This window comes from Homo sapiens, chromosome 18, assembly GCF_000001405.40.
Source record: "Homo sapiens chromosome 18, GRCh38.p14 Primary Assembly".
NCBI classification, from domain to species: domain Eukaryota; kingdom Metazoa; phylum Chordata; class Mammalia; order Primates; family Hominidae; genus Homo; species Homo sapiens.
The window spans coordinates 9,221,359-9,238,769 of record NC_000018.10 but is presented as its reverse complement, the minus strand read 5'-3'; the positions used below and the strand labels follow the sequence as shown (position 1 = coordinate 9,238,769).

At 37.5% G+C, this 17,411-nt stretch overlaps 1 protein-coding gene across 22 annotated transcripts in view; it reads right to left on the bottom strand.

Moving 5' to 3' along the window:
• Positions 1 to 17,411, bottom strand: part of ANKRD12 (ankyrin repeat domain 12) — a 149,205-nt gene that overhangs the window by 47,216 nt on the left and 84,578 nt on the right. For 20 of the 22 annotated variants that reach the window (XM_005258093.5, XM_017025661.3, XM_017025663.3 and 17 more), the window contains one exon: positions 16,771 to 16,918. In XM_005258093.5, coding sequence (XP_005258150.1) covers positions 16,771 to 16,918 — 148 coding nt within the window. Of the gene's footprint in view, positions 1 to 2,860; positions 3,076 to 16,770; positions 16,919 to 17,411 lie in introns of those variants that run through there. The other 2 variants (XM_047437392.1, XM_017025669.3) reach the window with 2 other exon arrangements.

Below are 17,411 nucleotides of genomic sequence, written 5' to 3'. Positions count from 1 at the left end.
ACTGGACAAAAACGTTCAAAGGACTCTCAGTTTAGCTGGAAGATGGACTTACAAAAATTTTGAAAGCTGAAATTGACAGGAGTCAATTATGTTTTATGTTTTCTCCATTTTCTTAATCAGCTGTATCCTCAGTACCTAAGCAATGCCTAACCTATAATGAGTGCTCAAAAACAGCTGTTGAATAATTGAAAGAAGGAAAAGGAAGAAGAGGAGTTTAGATGACTCTCGAGTGTATGACTTATATGTGCAGATGAATGATGTTACACTAATTAAGATAGAACACGAAGAGGAGTGTAATGGTGGGGGTATGCTGATTTTTGAGATTTTGCTGAGGAAATCCAGGTGGAAATATTCAGAGAACAGCCAAATATGTAAGTTTGAAGCTTAAGAGAAATGTCTGAGATAGATGTATTTTAAAATCATTACATAAATGGTAGTAAAAACTCTAAGTGTGGGTGAAATTTACTTGAGAGAGTATGCAGCATGAGAAGAGGGTCCAGAAAGTAAAAATCTTGAGAAAACCAACACAGGGGTGTTTATGGAAAGGAAATGAGGAAGTTACGAAGACAAGAATCTAGGAGGAAATTGAGAAGGAAGAGTCTGGGGAGCTGGACGAAAGCCAAGGAGAACTTTGTCCCAAGAACCAAGGCAAGAGAATTTTAGGAAGAATATGGTCAACAGTGTCAAATTCTATGGAGAATTTCAAAGGATAAGGACTGAAATACCACTGAGGGGTCTGGCAGTGACAGCATGTGCAATCTTAGTAAAACTAGGTTCCATGGAGGAGTCAGTCTACAATGTACCTTAAGAAGCTTAGTTGTGAAGGGAAGGGCATAAATGATTAAATAAACGGGGATGCAGGGCAGGAGAAGATTTTGTTGAGTCTTGTAAATATATGTGTAAAAAAATTATCAATGATTGTGTCCGACTGTACTTTGACCTTTCCATCCATCCAAATCATCATCTCCTCTGCCACTAGCTACCTAAGACACGTCTCCTTAATGGCCTGGTATACATCCTTCCAGATTTCGCTCCATGCTAATAAAATTTTACACAAACATGTACGTAAACATACATACAGATTTTAAAAACACTGTTCATTTTACAAAAATGAGATATAACTATTCTTGATTTTTTGAACTCAACAATACCTTATAAAAATGTCTTCAAGTAACCCTACAACTCCAGGCACAGCACTGACATGCTTTTCCATGGCTGTGCAATAGTTTATGGTGAGGCTATACATTGATTTAATCAACCAATCCCCTAGTGATGGCTATATTTTTTGCCCCTAAAAAGAATGTTATAATAAACATAGGATACTCCCACAAGTTTGACTGCTAGATCATGAAGCATGAGTATTTTTAAGAGCATTTTTGTGATGGTAAATTTTGTACTTACACACAAGTGGACAGAATGTTATAGAGACAATTTGTCTCAGCTCCAGTGACCATCAATCTTTGACCAATTCACACCTCCATTCACCCCATCCATGTATCATTTTGAAGATCTTGTTCATATCCTATCATTTCATTGATAGATATTTCAAGTATGTATCTCTAGGACTCTTGAGTTTTGTTAGCTGTTGCTAGACTGTTTTTCAAAAAGATGGTAAAATTTGCATAACCTCCCTTTTTAACCCTTTCCTTATTAGGTAACCACTTCATAAGTTGTTGGTTTATTCTCCCACTATTTCTTTTTTTAAAATGTGTAAGAAAATATATGTATTTATATGCTTTTAAAATCTTTAAATGTTTGCAATTATCCTTTTACCCTGACAGGTGAGTAGTATCTCAGCCAGGTACAGGATTCTTATGTTGCAGTTCTTTTCTCTCAGTAGTCTATCTTCCAGTATTGCAAATCTGAAGTCCAGTGCCAACCTGACAGTATTTCTTTGCCCATAACTTGTCACTTCATAGCTAAAGAATCTGGCCAATGTATGTCAAGGGGTATATATGTGTGTTTTCATCAAATCAATCTGAAGCTCAGTGAACTTCAAAACTGATAGGCTTTTTCGGCTCAGAAAAATTTTCTTCTATTATTTGCATAAATATTATCTATCTTCCATCTGTTTTTCTCCTTTTTAAATTCCTATAAATAACTATTATACACGTTAGTTCTGTTACGTCTCCTGGATCTATTCCTTAGGTCTTTTACCTTTTCTTTCATGATTCTCTTTGAATTTTTGCTCTATGTTTTGGAGATTTATCTTATTTTTCCAGTCTAATAATTGAAGTCTCCAGTTGAATAATTTAAGTCTCCACAGTGACTATCCCCCACTTCATCAACTGAGTTTTAAGCTCAGAAAAGTATTTTTATGCTGTACTTGAATTTTCTTAAGTGCCCATTTTTTGTTGTTGTTGAAGCTGTTTCCTCTAATAGTTTCACTTAGGTGGGTTAACATTCTGTTTGTTTAAATTTATCATTCTCTCACTTTTCTAGGCAATCCTGGAGGGTTGGTAAGCTCACTTATTTTTATTGGATAGTGAAGAGGTGAAAATAGATACTAAAAGCAAAGTTGCCACCTTCACAATTTTTTCTATAGTTTTAGCTCCATTCGTTATTTCCTTCAAATATCGATGTCAATCCTTTACCATTGTTATATTTTTCTTCTTCATTCCCCACTTTCCCTGTCTCCTCTTCCTAAGTTAGTTCCACTTTTGGATGGGTGATAGTTTAGTTGAAGCCGTGATTGTTTCCTAAGTTAAACAAAAGAACTATCACTATTGCTGGTCCCTTCTCAAAAGCATAGAAAACATATAAGGCTTTTCCCTTAACATATAATCTTAAAAATTTCTTAGTACTAAAAAAAAAAAAAAGTCCCTCAATATCTAGATATTATATATGCCATTTATCTTACCTGAGTTTTCTATAAGATTTTCCCAGAGAAGAATAAATCAACTATTAAACACATATTTCTCAGTCTTGCCCATTAAAGTCTGATGAGCCTTTTAAATCATTTTTATTTTTTTCTACATGGTCTTCTTCTGTTTCTTTTCCACACAAAATATCTGTTAAAGAACCAAGGCTGTTTGGCTTTCTCACAATCTGGAATTTGCTGATTGCATACACTTGGTATAGTTCAACTTGCTCCGCTGAGCTTGGCATTTCCTGCAAATTGGTAGCTGGATCCTGAGGATGAAGAGACTAAGGTTTGATCCCTTTGATAAGGCCATAGCAGGAGTACAGTATATTCTTTCATCAGGTGTGCAAGTATATAGTATATTCTTTTTCTCTTTATGTGGTGTTAGCAACTGTTGATATTCAATGCTTAGAGATATATTAACTATGGCAAAATAGTAATATTTTAACTTTTTTTCTTTTTAGCTGGATTAATATTATAAAGATACTTCTCTTTACCTATGATGAAATTATCCAGTGACAGAGTTCATATAACGAAGGCAAGATAAATGATTTTTCTTCCTATTCAATTTTTGTTTTTGTTAACAGGCATGATCTTTCTATGTTGCCCAGGCTGGCCTCAAGGGATCTTCCCACCTCAGCCTTCTAAGTAACTAAGACATCAGGTATGCATCATTATGCCTAGCTATTGGCCTATTTTTTAAGATGACAAACTGGCTCTCTATCATCCTCTTATGATGATGAATTAATTTTTTAACTTATCATAAAGAATTAAACAAGATGGCAGACTATAGAGATATCAGACACCCACCCTCTCCAGAGTGAGCCAAAATTGCAAATAGGTAATCATACCTTGAATAGGGTATCTAGGAAGAGAACATTAAAGTCCAACAGAGAAGTCACAGGAAACTCTTGAGGCAGAGAAGGGGAAGGAACCAAGCAGCCTACTTGTCTGAGATCTGCTGGCAGCTGTGAGGGGCTCAATATTGGGCCAGGGGAAAGAGTAAGTGAGAACTTTAGTAGTCCACAACCCCATCACAAACTGCTGCAATCTGAACTACAAGAGAGCTCCTCTACCCATACCAACCCTGAAACTAGTGTGGGCAGCGATTTGGAGACCCTGCACAAGCATTGCACCAGACAGGGAACTTGCACTGGGTCACTATCCCCTTTCCCCGCCTCTGGTACCTAAGCGGCTGGAACTGGGCACCACCACGACAGCCCAGCTGTCAGGAGACTTCATCCTGCCCTGGGAACCATAGCCCCCATATCTCCACATCCCAGGAGCTTCCACTGACATTCCCCCAGTCTCCACCCAGAGGACTATAGTGGCACAGTGTTGGCTGGACCCAAAGGTGCTATGGGGTTTCTGGTACTCTAACTCAAGAGAGTATTCTCCAGGGAAATAATGGTGCACTGTACCAAAAACGAAGCCCCTGGGACAAAGGAAACTAAAGCAACAGCTTTCTAGAGCCCAGAGCTCCCTGCATACAGCTGTGAAAAGTGACCCCACCACCAGCAGCACAAACTGTGTGCTCAGCCTTGTGAGAGAGAGATCCCCCGTCGCCCCGCCACTGGTGGAGCAGCTTCTGTGCCTGGGCTCACATGTAGAGTGGGATCCCTTCTGCCGCTCCAAACACCATTGCAGGCACAGCTGTTGCTGCTACCACGGGAGGCTGGGGTGAGCGAAACAGAGAGCTGCCTGTCTAGGCCTGTGAGTGGTGACTGTGCCCCTACTGGTGGCATGGCCTTTGTGCTGGGGCCTGTGTACGAAGGGTGGATTCCTTCTCCATTCTGTGCGGCTCTGCTGAAGAGAGTGAGAAAGCCTGAGAGTTGTGTCTGGGACTGTGTGGTAACCCTGCACCACAGCCACTGCCAACACCAGCATTCACTACTTAGAATCCAGGGGATCATCCCACCACTGGCACTGCCCCTACCACGCTGGGACCTGAGAACCTGTTCACCTGCCCAGCCCACTGTGCCGTTACTGGCATCTAAGTAAGCTACCTGGACATCTAAGAATTGACCCACCTGGTCCTGCTGACACCAGTGCCAGAATATGATGGGCTGGGGCTCAGAATAAGGCATGTTCAGCCCACCACTGCCACCACTGGGGCCAAAGACTGGCCCACCTGACATGTCTGTCCCTAGCAAAACTTCACCATAAACTCCACTAACTGCACCCTAAACAACCAAGTAAATCACAGATACCAATGACATTGTTTATAGCCAAAGAAATCATACACATTACACTGCACTATCACGCGCACCCAGAATCAAAGCCAAAAGGCCCTATCCAACTAACACCATTGATATAATCTTTGGGAAGAAGCTCTCCCCTATGAAAGCAAACTCAAAAAGCTGGAAGAAGTAACTGTTACACCAGATACACAGGTATGAATGTAGGACAAAAGGAAACATGAAAAAAGAAGGAAATATGACACCCCCACAGTAATTCCTGAGCAACAGATCCCAATCAAAAAGAAATTCAAGAATCCTGGGGGAAAAAATTCAAAACTATGATACTAAGGAATCTCAGTGAGATATAAGAGAATTCCAAAGACAATACAAAGAAATCAGAAAAACCATTCAAGATAGGAATGAGAAATTTACCAGAAAGATATCATAAAAAAGAACCAAACAAAAATTCTGGAACTGAAGAACTCCTTGAATGAAATACAAAATACACTAAAAAAACTTCAACAACAGACTAGACCAAGCAGAAGAAACAATCTCAGAACTTGAAAATCGGTCTTGGCCAGGCACAGTGGCTCACATCTGTAATCACAGCACTTTGGGAGGCCGAGGTGGGTGGATCACTTGAGGCCAGAAGTTCGAGAGCAGCCTGGCCAACATGGTGAAACCCCTGTCTCTTTAAAAAATGCAAGAAATTATCCAGGCGTGGTGGTGCACACCAGTAATCCCAGCTACTCGGGAGGCTGAGGCACAAGAATTGCCTGGACCTGGGAGGCAGAGGTTGTAGTGAGCCGAGATCACACCACTGCACCCCAACCTGGGCAACAGAGCCAGATTCTGTCTTAAACAACAACAACAACAAAATCAGGTCTTTCAAAACTAACCAGACAAAAATAAAGAAAGAAAAAAAAAAGAATGAACAAAGTCTTTGTGATATATGGGATACTACAAGCAACCAAATATATGAATTACTGGTATCCCCAAAGGTGAGATGAGAACAAAAGGGATGAAAAACCTATTTATCAAAATAGCAGATGAAAACTTCCCAAGTCTAGCAAGAGATTCAGACATTCAGATGCAGGAGGCCCAGTGTTCCCCAATGCAAAAAGGTTTCCACAGCACATTATAGTCCAACTGTCTAAAGTCAATAACAGAGAGAAAATTCTAAAACACTAAGAGAAAAGTATCCAGTCACCTACAGAGAGGCCTCCCCCCACCACCATCAGACTAACAGCAGACTTCTCAGCAGAAACCTTATAGGCCAGGATATAATAGGAAAATAAGTGCTGAAAGAAAGAAAATGTCACCCAAAGATACTACATCCAACAAAATTATCCTTCATAAACGAAGAAGAAATAGAATCTTTCCCAGACAAGCAAATACTGAGAATTCATCACCACTAGACCTGCCTTAACAGAAATGCTCAAGGGAGTCCTAAACCTGGCAGTGAAAGAACAATAGTTACTACCATGAAAACACCTGAAAATATAAAACTCACTGGTAAAGCAAATACACAAATGAGAAAGAGAAAATAATCAAATGGTAGTACCACAGAAAATCAGCACACAACAAGGACAACCAAGACAAAAAGGAACAAAGAATAATACACAAAATAACCTGAAAACAACAATACAACAGAAACAAATCTTCACATATCAATAAAATTGAATATAAATGGGTTAAATTCTCCACTTAATAGACACAGACTAGCTGAATGGGTAAAAAAACATGATCCAACTATATGTTGCCTATAAGAAATGTATTTTACCTGTGAGGACACATACAGATTGAAAATAAAAGATATTCCACACAAATGGAAACCAAAAGCAAGCAAGAGTAGCTATAATAATTATATCGGATAAAATATCTTTTTTTTTTTTTTTTTTTGAGACAGAGTCTTGCTCTGTTGCCCAGGTTGGAGTGCAGTGGCATGATCTCAGCCCCCTGCAACCTCCGCCTCCCAGGTTCATGCTATCCTCCTGCCTCAGCCTCCCGAGTAGCTGGGACTACAGGCGCCTGCCACCATGCCTGGCTAATTTTTTGTATTTTTAGTAGAAACACAGTTTCACTGTTAGCAAGGATGGTTTTGATCTCCTGACCTCATGATCCACCCACCTCGGCCTCCCAAAGTGCTGGGATTACAGGCTCGAGCCACCGCGCCCGGCACGGATAAAATATCTTTAAGTCAAAAAAAGTTTAAAAAAAGACAAAAAAGGTAATCATATAATGATAAAGAGATCATTACAGCAAGAGAATATAACAATTCAAAATAATATATGAACCCAACACTGCAGTACCCAGATTTACAAAGCAAATACTCCTAGATACAAAGGAAGACTCCAATACAATAGTAACGGGGGACTTCAACACATCACTGTCAGCATTAGACAGATCATCTAGATAGAAAATAAAGAAACACTGGACTTATACTGGACTTCAGACCAAAGGACCTAACAGACACTTTCAGAACATTTTATCCAACAACTGCAGAATACACATTCTTCTCATCAGCACATGGAACATGTGACTGACCATGTTAGGCCACAAAACTAGTCTCAACAAATTTTTAAAACTTGAAATCACAGTGTATTCCACAATGGGATGAAACTAGAAATCAATACCAAAAGGAACTTTGAACACTATACAAATACACAAAAATTAAACAATATGCTCATGAACGACCACTAGATCAATGAAGAAATTAGATGGAAATAAAAAAAATTCTTGAAACAAATGAAAGTGGAGGCCAGGCATGGTGGCTTACGCCTGTAATCCTAGCACTTTGGGAGGCCGAAGCGGGCAGATCACTTGAGGTCAGGAGTTCAAGACCAGTCTGGCCAACATGGTGAAACCCCATCTCTACTAAAAAAAAAAAAAATACAAAAATTATCCAGGTGTGATGGCACGCATCTGTAGTCCCAGCTGCTCGGGAGGCTGAGGCAGGAGAATCTCTTGAGCCTGGGAGGCAAAGGTTGCAATAAGCCGAGATCGTGCCACTGCACTCAAGCCTGGGCAACAGAGCTAGACTCTGTCTCAAAGAAGAAAAAAAAAAAAAAGAAGAAAGTAGAAACACAACATACCAAAACCTGGGGACACAGCAAAAGCAATGCTAAAAAAGAGGTTTATAGCAATAAACACAAATAAATATTTTAAATAAACACTATAGTGATACACACCTCAAGGTACTAAAAAAAGCAAAAACAAACTAAACCTCATGCTAGCAGAAGAAATAATAAAGATCACAGCAGAACTAAACAAAATACAGAGACTTAAAAAAATGCAAAGGATCTATGGAATGAAAAATCAGTTCTCTGAAAAGATAAACTGCTAACTAGACTAACTAAGAAGAAAGGAGATCCAAACAAAATCAGAAATAAAAAAGGGGACATTACAACTGATATCACAGAAATACCGAAAATCACCAGAGACTATTATGAACTATATGCAACAAACTGAAAAACCTAGAGGGAATGGATACAGTCCTGGAAATATACAACCTGCCAAAATCAAACCAGAAAGTAACAGAAAATCTGAATAGACCAATTCAGTAATAAAAAGTCTCCTAACAAAGAAAAGCTGGGGACCAGATGGACTCACTGCAGAATTCTACCAAAGCATTACCACAAAGAAGTACAAAGAATTACAAATTAGTACAAAGAAGAACTAACACCAATCTTCTTGCAACTACTCCAAAAAATTGAAGAGGAGGGGATTCTCCCTAACCCATTCTACAAAGCCAGCATCACCCTGATTCCACAACCAGAGAAGGACACAACAAAAAAAGAAAACTATAGGCCAACATCCCTGATGAAAAGATGTAAAAATCCTCAACAAAATATTAGCAAACTGAATCCAATGGCACATCGAAAAGATAATACAACATGATCAAATGGAATTTATACCAGGGATGCAAGCATGGTTCAAAATATGCAAGTCAATAAACGTCATACATCACATAAACAGAATGAAGGACAAAAACCATATAATAATTTCAACACAAGCAGAAAACACATTTGACTAACAACTGATAATCAAATTCAGTAACGTTGCAGATACAAAGTCAAAATACAAAAATCAGTAGCATTTTTACACACCAATAATGAAACAGCTGAAAAAGAAATCAAGGCAATCTCATTTACAATAGCTATCAAAACAAACAACAACAACAACAACAAACAACTAGGAATAACTTTAACCAAGGAGGTGAAAGATCTCTACAAAGAAAACTACAAAACGCTGATGGAAGAAACTGAAGCAGACACAAACAAATGGAAAAACCTCCCATGCTCATAGATCAGAAGAATTAATGTCATTACAGTGACCAAGCTGCCCAAAGCAGTCTACAGACTCAATGTAATCCCCATCAAAATATCAATGTCATTTTTCACAGAAATAGAAAAAACAATCCATAAACATGTATGGAAACAAAAAAGAGCCTGAATAGCCAAAGCAATCCTGAGCAAATAGAACAAAGCTGGAGGAATCACTTCAAAATATATTACAGGGACTGAGAGAGCACAGTGTTGGTATAAAAACAGACACAGAGACCAATGAAACAGAACAGAGAACCCAGAAATAAATCTGCATATTTACAGCCAAATGATCTTTGATAAAGCCACCAACATACATACACTGAGGGACGAATACCATCTTCAATAAATGGTGCTGGGAAGACTGGATAACCATATGCAGAAGAATGAAACTGGATCCCTATTTCTCACCACATATAAAAGTCAACTCAAAATGAATTAAAGACTTAAATGTGAGACTCAAAATTATAAAACTAGTAAAAAAAAAAAAGCACATGGAAAACTCTTTAGGACATTGGTCTAGGCAAAGATTTTAGAGCTAAGACCTCAAATGCACAGGAAACAAAAAAGTAGACAAATGGGGCTATCAAACTATAAAACTCCTCCATAGCAAAAAGAATCAAGAGGGTAAAGAGACAACCCTCGAATGAGAGAAAATATTTGCAAATTACTCATCTGACAAGGGACTAATATCCAGAATATACAAGAAATTCAAGTACCTCAACAGTGAAGAAAACTCCAAATAATCCCATTAAAAAATGGGCAAAGGACTTGGAAGACATTTCTCAAAAAAGATACAAATGGCTAATATATGAAAAAATTCTCGACATCACTAATCATCAGGGAAAGGTATCAAAATCACAATGAGATAGCATCTCACCCCGGTTAGAATGGCTATTATCACAAAGACAAAAAATAACAGTTACTGGCGAGGGTGTGGAGAAAAGGGAACCTCTTTTACACTGTTAGTGGGAATGTAAATTAGTACAACTGCTATGGAAAAGTTTGGAGATTTCTCAGAAAATTAAAAATAGAATACCATCCAGCAATCCCACTACCAAGTATCCATCCAAAAGAAAGGAAATCAGTACATCAAAGGGATACCTGCACTTACAAGTTTATTGTAGCTCTGTTCCCGACAGCAAAGATATGGAATCAACCTAAATGCCCATCAACGGATGAATGGATAAAGAAAATGTGGTGCATATATACACTAGAGTACTATTCAGCCATACAAAGGAATGAAATCATGTCATTTGCAGCAACATGGATTTCATTTGCAGCAACATGGATGTCATTTGCAGCAACATGGATGGAATTAGTGAAGTCAGGCACAGAAAGACAAAGACAGCATGTTCTCTCACTCATATGTGGAAGCTAAGAAACTTAAATCTCATGGACATAGAGACTAGAATGACAGATACCAGAGAATGGGAAGGGGATTGGTGGGGGAGAGTGGGGAAGCAATGGATGTGGATACAAACATAGGGTTAGATGAAGTAAGTTCTAATGTTTGATAGCAGATTAAGGTGACTATACTTAGCAACAGTATTATGTATATTTCAAAGTAACTAGAAGAGATGACTTGAAATGATACCAACATATAAAAATAACACTTAAGGTGATGGATACCCCAATTACCCTCACTTGATCATTACACATTATTTGCATGTAACAAACTCACATGTACCTCATAAATATGCAAATGATTATATAGTGAAAAAAGGGGAAAATCATCATAATAAACTCATGGGTTTCAACATCTTTGATGGATTTCAAACCACGGCAATTTATTCTGTTCTTGAAGCTCACATTGTCCCATCTTTGGTCAATACAAAACTGCTCCAAATTGTCTCCTAACACCTTTCGGTAAGATCTTATATTAGTCTTTGATAGCTTCCCTGAAATCTGGAATTTTAAGATATTCCAAGCTCAAACATTTCCTGCCCCAGACCTGGAATCATCTTCTTCTATGAAATCTTGGTTTTCTTTTTGTAGAAAACATTTTAAGATCATAACCTGGAAGGTGGGAATGATAACTGCTATTTTAGTCATTCCTTTTAGTTATTTGTATAATTTAATTCAGAAATAATTTCACACTCACAAGAAGTTAGAGAAATAAATACTGAACACTATATATCTGTAACCCAGATTTATCCAGTTAATGTTTTACCTCCTTGCTTTATAACTTGTTCTCTTTCTATATATATGTATATATATTACATATCTTTTTCTAAAGTATATGAGTGTAAATTAAATGCATCATGGCCCTAAACCATATATATTTTAGTATTTCCTAAGACACAAGAATATTCTCTTCTGTCACCACAGTAATCAACTTCATAAATTTACACTGATATGACACCAATCTACTGTCCATTTCCTTGTTAAATGATCTAATAACGTCCTTTATAATCATTTTTCCCCTCCAGTACAGGATCCAGTCTAGGAGCAGGTATTGCCTTTAATTACCATCTCTGCGGATAATCTGGCATATTTCTACTGCCTTTATTGGTTTCTTACGAAAATTCCCATTTCTTAATCTTTCATGACACAAAACTGGCTTTATTTTTTTTAAAAAAGAGCATTTCTCATGATGATGCATTCTCAGCTGTAATACTAAAAAAGTGATGTTATATCCCTTTTAGGTATCACATCTGGAGGCAGATATGGCCATATCTCCTTCCTTTGATGATGTAAATGGAGTTCACACAGTCTAGGTGCTGCTGGATTTCTCTACCATATAATCACTGGTTTGTTTTTCCTCCACCCACCCTTTCTGATGTGAAAAGGGTATGTAAAAACCCTGCTTCTCAGTAAAAATCCACCCCCCCAAGTTTATCAGCCATTAGTCATTATTGTCTAATCATGTTTATCATGATGGGTATAAAATGATCAGTGGGAGGGGCAGGAACTGACTAGGAAGGGGCATCAAGGAACTTTCAGGAGTGATGGGAAATTTTTTTTTCTTTTTTTGAGACAGAGCATCACTCTTGTTGCCCAGGCTGGAGTGTAATGGTGCGAACTCAGCTTACTGCAACTTCTGCCTCCCAGGTTTAAGTGATTCTCCTGCCTCAGCCTCCTGAGTAGCTGGGACTACAGGCACGCACCACCACGCCCAGCTAAGTTTTTGTACCTTTAATAGAGATGGGGTTTCATCATGTTGCCCAGGCTAGTCTTGAACTCCTGACCTCAGGTGATCCACCCACCTCAGCCTCCCAGAGTCCTGGGATTACAGGCGTGAGCCACCGTGCCCGGCCTTGGAAATATTCTGTATCTTGATGGTGTTGGATTATACAGGTGGAGGCATTTCAAAAACTCATATATCTCATATATACATTATATTTAAGAATTACATCACAACCATGAATATTGCAAAAAAATTTAAACTCTAATGAAATGCATGCTTAAGTACTTAGGAATGTCTTCAACTTATAAAACATATCAAAAAATAATATGGATTGATGGATAGATATGTGATAGTGTAATAAAGGAAACAGAGCAAAAGATTAACAGCTGTTAAATGTAGTTAGTGGGTACAGGATGTTCATTATACAATTCTTTGAGCTTTGCTACATGTTTGAATATTTTCATAATAATGTATGGGGATTTTTAAAAAAGTACTGTAAGTGGTTATGTTATAAAAAGCACAAATTGTAAGTGGGTAATTTGGGATAAATTTTCCTATGGAATCATATTTGGATTTCGAAAGTATTGAGGATCTAAGGTTGTGGACAGAGAATTTAAGATGGAAGATCATTAGTGGCTAAAAGGTGGTTCTGGTGATGACGAAAACATTGATGTCAAAATAAGAGAACAGTGTTTACAAAATCATTTCAGGACAGAGTAGGGGGAAAAATTAGTATTTCTACATTAATACGTATGTTATCTCAAATGTATATATTTGAATACTTTTTTTTTTTTTTTTTAAAGATAGTCTGGCTCTGTCAGCCAGGCTGGAATGCAGTGGCACGACCTCAGCTCCTTGCAACCTCCGCCTCCTGGGCTCAAGACATTCTCCCACCTCAGCCTCCCAAGTAGCTGGTACTACAGACGCACGCCACCATGCCTGGCTAATTTTTGTATTTTTTGTAGAGATGGGGTTTCACCATGTTGCCCAGGCTGGTCTCGAACTCCTGGGCTCAAGTGATCTGTCCGCCTCGACTTCCCAAAAGTGCTGGGATTACAGGCATAAGTCACTGTGCCTGGCCAAATTAATACTTTAAATAGATGACTATTCTATCCCTATATTGTTTATTTATTCAAATAGTTCACAAGCCTTTTGTCTTTTTAAAAATCTTTATTTCCATCTGTTGTCTCTCTTAATTACTGAAGAGGTGTTTTTTTTGGAGGCAGGAGCTTGCTCTAATGCCCAGGCTAGTCTCAAACTCCTGGGTTCAGCTCCTGGAATAGCTGGAATTGCAGGCACATGCCACCATGCCCAGCCCACAAGACTTTTTAATTTTTTAATTCTTACTGGAGGAAAATGTAGATTATCTTATCTTTTGGTATATACCGTATATAGAAGATACTTAACCATATCATTAGAAAAATGTACAAACACAATGGCTACACAAGATACATAAACTTTAAAAATTATTTCTCTGCCCATTTTGGGGGCATTTAAGTCATTCTAAATTTTCAGTATTATAAGCACTAATATGTTAACAGCTTTACACACATATATATAGTCAGCACTTCTGGTTATATCTCTGCAGCACTTCTAGTTATATCTTTTTTAATTTTTCACACTTATTAACAAATTGTTTTCCAGAAAGCACTCTCAACAACAGTGTATGGTGCCAGCTTCACTCCAAGCTCACCAACATCCAAATACTATTATTTTAAAAATGTTTACCAATTTTATCGGGCAGTTTTTATTCAAGCACTTCTGTATGTTAATTACTGTGTTAAACTGAAGACTGTTCTGCAGTTTTCTAGTTATAGTCTTCCCTTCTCAAAGTATCAAGATTTTGCTGGCTTAAAAAAAAAAGCCGCAGCTGTTTCTACTTTTATACCATTAGACCATTTTAACAGTATGGCAACCTGAGTGTGCCTGCACCTACCCCTCTCTCTGTCTTCCAATCTTTCTCCTTTCATATCCCTCTTTCAGTCTGTGTTTCTGTCTGCTCTGTGTTTATCATTTTTAATTTTTTTTTGGTAAGATCTATATACAGTATTCTGTTAAAGTCTGAAAAAAATTTTATAACTTTTGTGGTTCTATCCATTTTCTTACTCATCAGTGATGTTTATGGATTTCCACTCACTTTTCCTTAATTAGATTTGCTAGATGTTCTAGTTAATCTTGTCAGAAAAGCAACTCCTGGTTTCATTCTGCTATATTGTCTAGAAATATTAGGACATTTGTTTCTTTATATAATACTTAGAAAACGTGCTTTCCAGTCATTATTATCTTGCTTTTCTCTGTGGATCTGCTTTTACTTTCTCTTCTTGATTTCTTAAGTTCACTTATTTTCATTCTTACCTAGTTTAATGAAGATAACTATGAACTTTTACTGAACACAGAACAACTCTGGTCTCGTCACGTAAGTACTAATGGTTACGTATACAATGTCTACAACTGAGACTTTCTACTTAATAAGAAACTGCATGTGCTGAAAAAACTTAAAGTTTCCAACTAGTATTCAGTATTCTGTTTCTGGTTAATTTTATCTTGTATTTCTAACAACTTTTGCTTTATATATTTTGACAGTGTTATCTAGTGTTTAAGGCAGTATACTTTTCTTATTTTTTTTCCCCACAACAAAAGCTACATTTAATTAAGAAGGCAATACACTTTTATCTTTGCTTTGTTCATATGCTTTTATTACCACAAAATTATCTTTTGTCATGCACTATTTCCTGACTTCAATTCTTTGTCTAACGTCAATACTGAAATTCTTACTTTGTCTTCAAAAGCATTTTTTTTGGTTTTGGGTTTTTTTTTGTATTTTTCATAGAGACGGGGTAAAAAACAATATTAGCCGGCATGGTGGCATGCGCCTGTAGTCCCAGCTACTCGGGGGAGGCTGAGGCAGGAGAATGGCATGAACCCGGGAGGCGGAGCTTGCAGTGAGCCGAGATCACGCCACTGCACTCCAGCCAGGGCGACAGAGCGAGACTCCACCTCAAAAAAAAAAAAGAGAGAGAGGTGGGGTTTCACCATGTTGGCCAGGCTGGTCTTGAACTCTCGGCCTCAAGTGATCTGGCCCACATTGGCCTCCCAAAGCGCTGGGATTACAGGTGTGAGCCACCACGCCCAACCCTGAGTTTACTATACTTTTATTATCACCTCTCAAATGTTGTTGTTGGTTTTAATTTTGTATTTAAATTTCAGATAATTAAATTTTTTCATTTTTCCCTTTTCAAGTATGATCTGATATTTACATTCAATTTGACAATATTTACCACAGTTATTTAATCATCTTGTCTGTAATCAGTGCTCACTGCCAAAAGTTTTTATTCCATGACTTCATTTTCTTTTGTTTATAATTTGGCAGCATCTCTTAATCAGTTGGAGTATATTTACAATTTTTGTTCAACAAGTAAAATGTTATATTCAGAAGGTGTGTTCTTTCAATTGCCTTTCCATGTGAAATATAATTTAACTATATTACATGAAAATAAAGGGTAGAACTTTCTGCCTCAAAACTATAAATGATCCATTGCCTTCTGGCAATGGCTGACATTAAATGAGTGAAGTATGGTTTTTATTCCCTCATGTGTAATATAAAAGTAGCATTACCTAATTGCTTATAGGAATTCTTTAAGATTTTACGAGGAAACAGCCATTTGTAAAACTGATGAAACTCTTTTTCACTGAATTTTGCCTGAAATATGGTAAACCCCTTTTATATAAAGACGACTTTCTTCAACACAGTAAATGTTTTTTTGTTATCTTTAAAAAAAAATTGTGTTTAAAAAAAAAAAAAAGAAAGAAATTGTCCTTCCCTGCAACAATGATCAGAATTCAACCATCTAAATCACAAAAGTAAAATCACAGAGATGACTCGTTAACACCAGGACACCGGAAAAAGACATGAAGTGTTTGGTTAGTAGCTCTGTAATTTATAATAGAATGAAAAGAAGTCAGAGTAGCAGTGGTGGTAGCTCTGCATGGGGAGAGGTTCTGCAGCAGGCTTAAAAGTAATAATGAATAGTTCAGCAATTTATAGAAAACAGAAATGGGGCAATGGCATTATGACTTCATTCACACAGGGTATATGTAGCAAACACCTAGGTTACTAACTTCATCATTCTTAGCTAGTTAGCTAAGCATTATTCTAGCTAGCCAGCATTATTCTAAAGTATTCAAACATTTTGTATATTACAAATGAATCCAGAATGTTCTATCAAATATCATGTCAAACGAACAGATGAATGTAGATTATCTGAAACAAACCTGTGTAACTTTCATCATCATCAGATAAAGGCACCTCTCTTTTTAGTAGCAACTCCAACTCCTCTGTTTCTGCTACATCCACTGGACGCTCCCCATGTTTATTAGCTTGAAATGGATTTCCACCGTGACGAAGTAACAGCTTTACTATCTGCAACAATAAAAAGCAGGAAGACTTAGTCCCTTCACAGATTGTTATCACTGCACCCATTCTCTTGATAATACTCATAGTATCCTTCTGAGTGTTACCTCATTTACTCTGCATCCATTCCTCACCATCTACTCTAAATCGTTATTCTCTTCAAGATCCATTTTCACTGACACTCCCCTATCTGATAACCTCAACTACTACAAAAAAATTTCCTCCTTAAAATTTAAACTGGGTTATTTTAGCAATTAATCTCATCATTTTTTCATCCTGTTCCATCATAAAGTCAAATATTTATTGAGAACCTATAATATCTACACTTCCGAGTTCTGCTAATAAACCCATGAACAAGAATAACAAGTTCCCTGGCCTCTTGAAATGTGTGTCTTAGAAAAAGTTTCAAAGAAGTATTTCCCTTCTGCTTTAGGCTAATATCACTGTCAATGCTCTTAATCTTACTCCATTTCCCATAGCCCAGGAATTTTAAGTATCATTA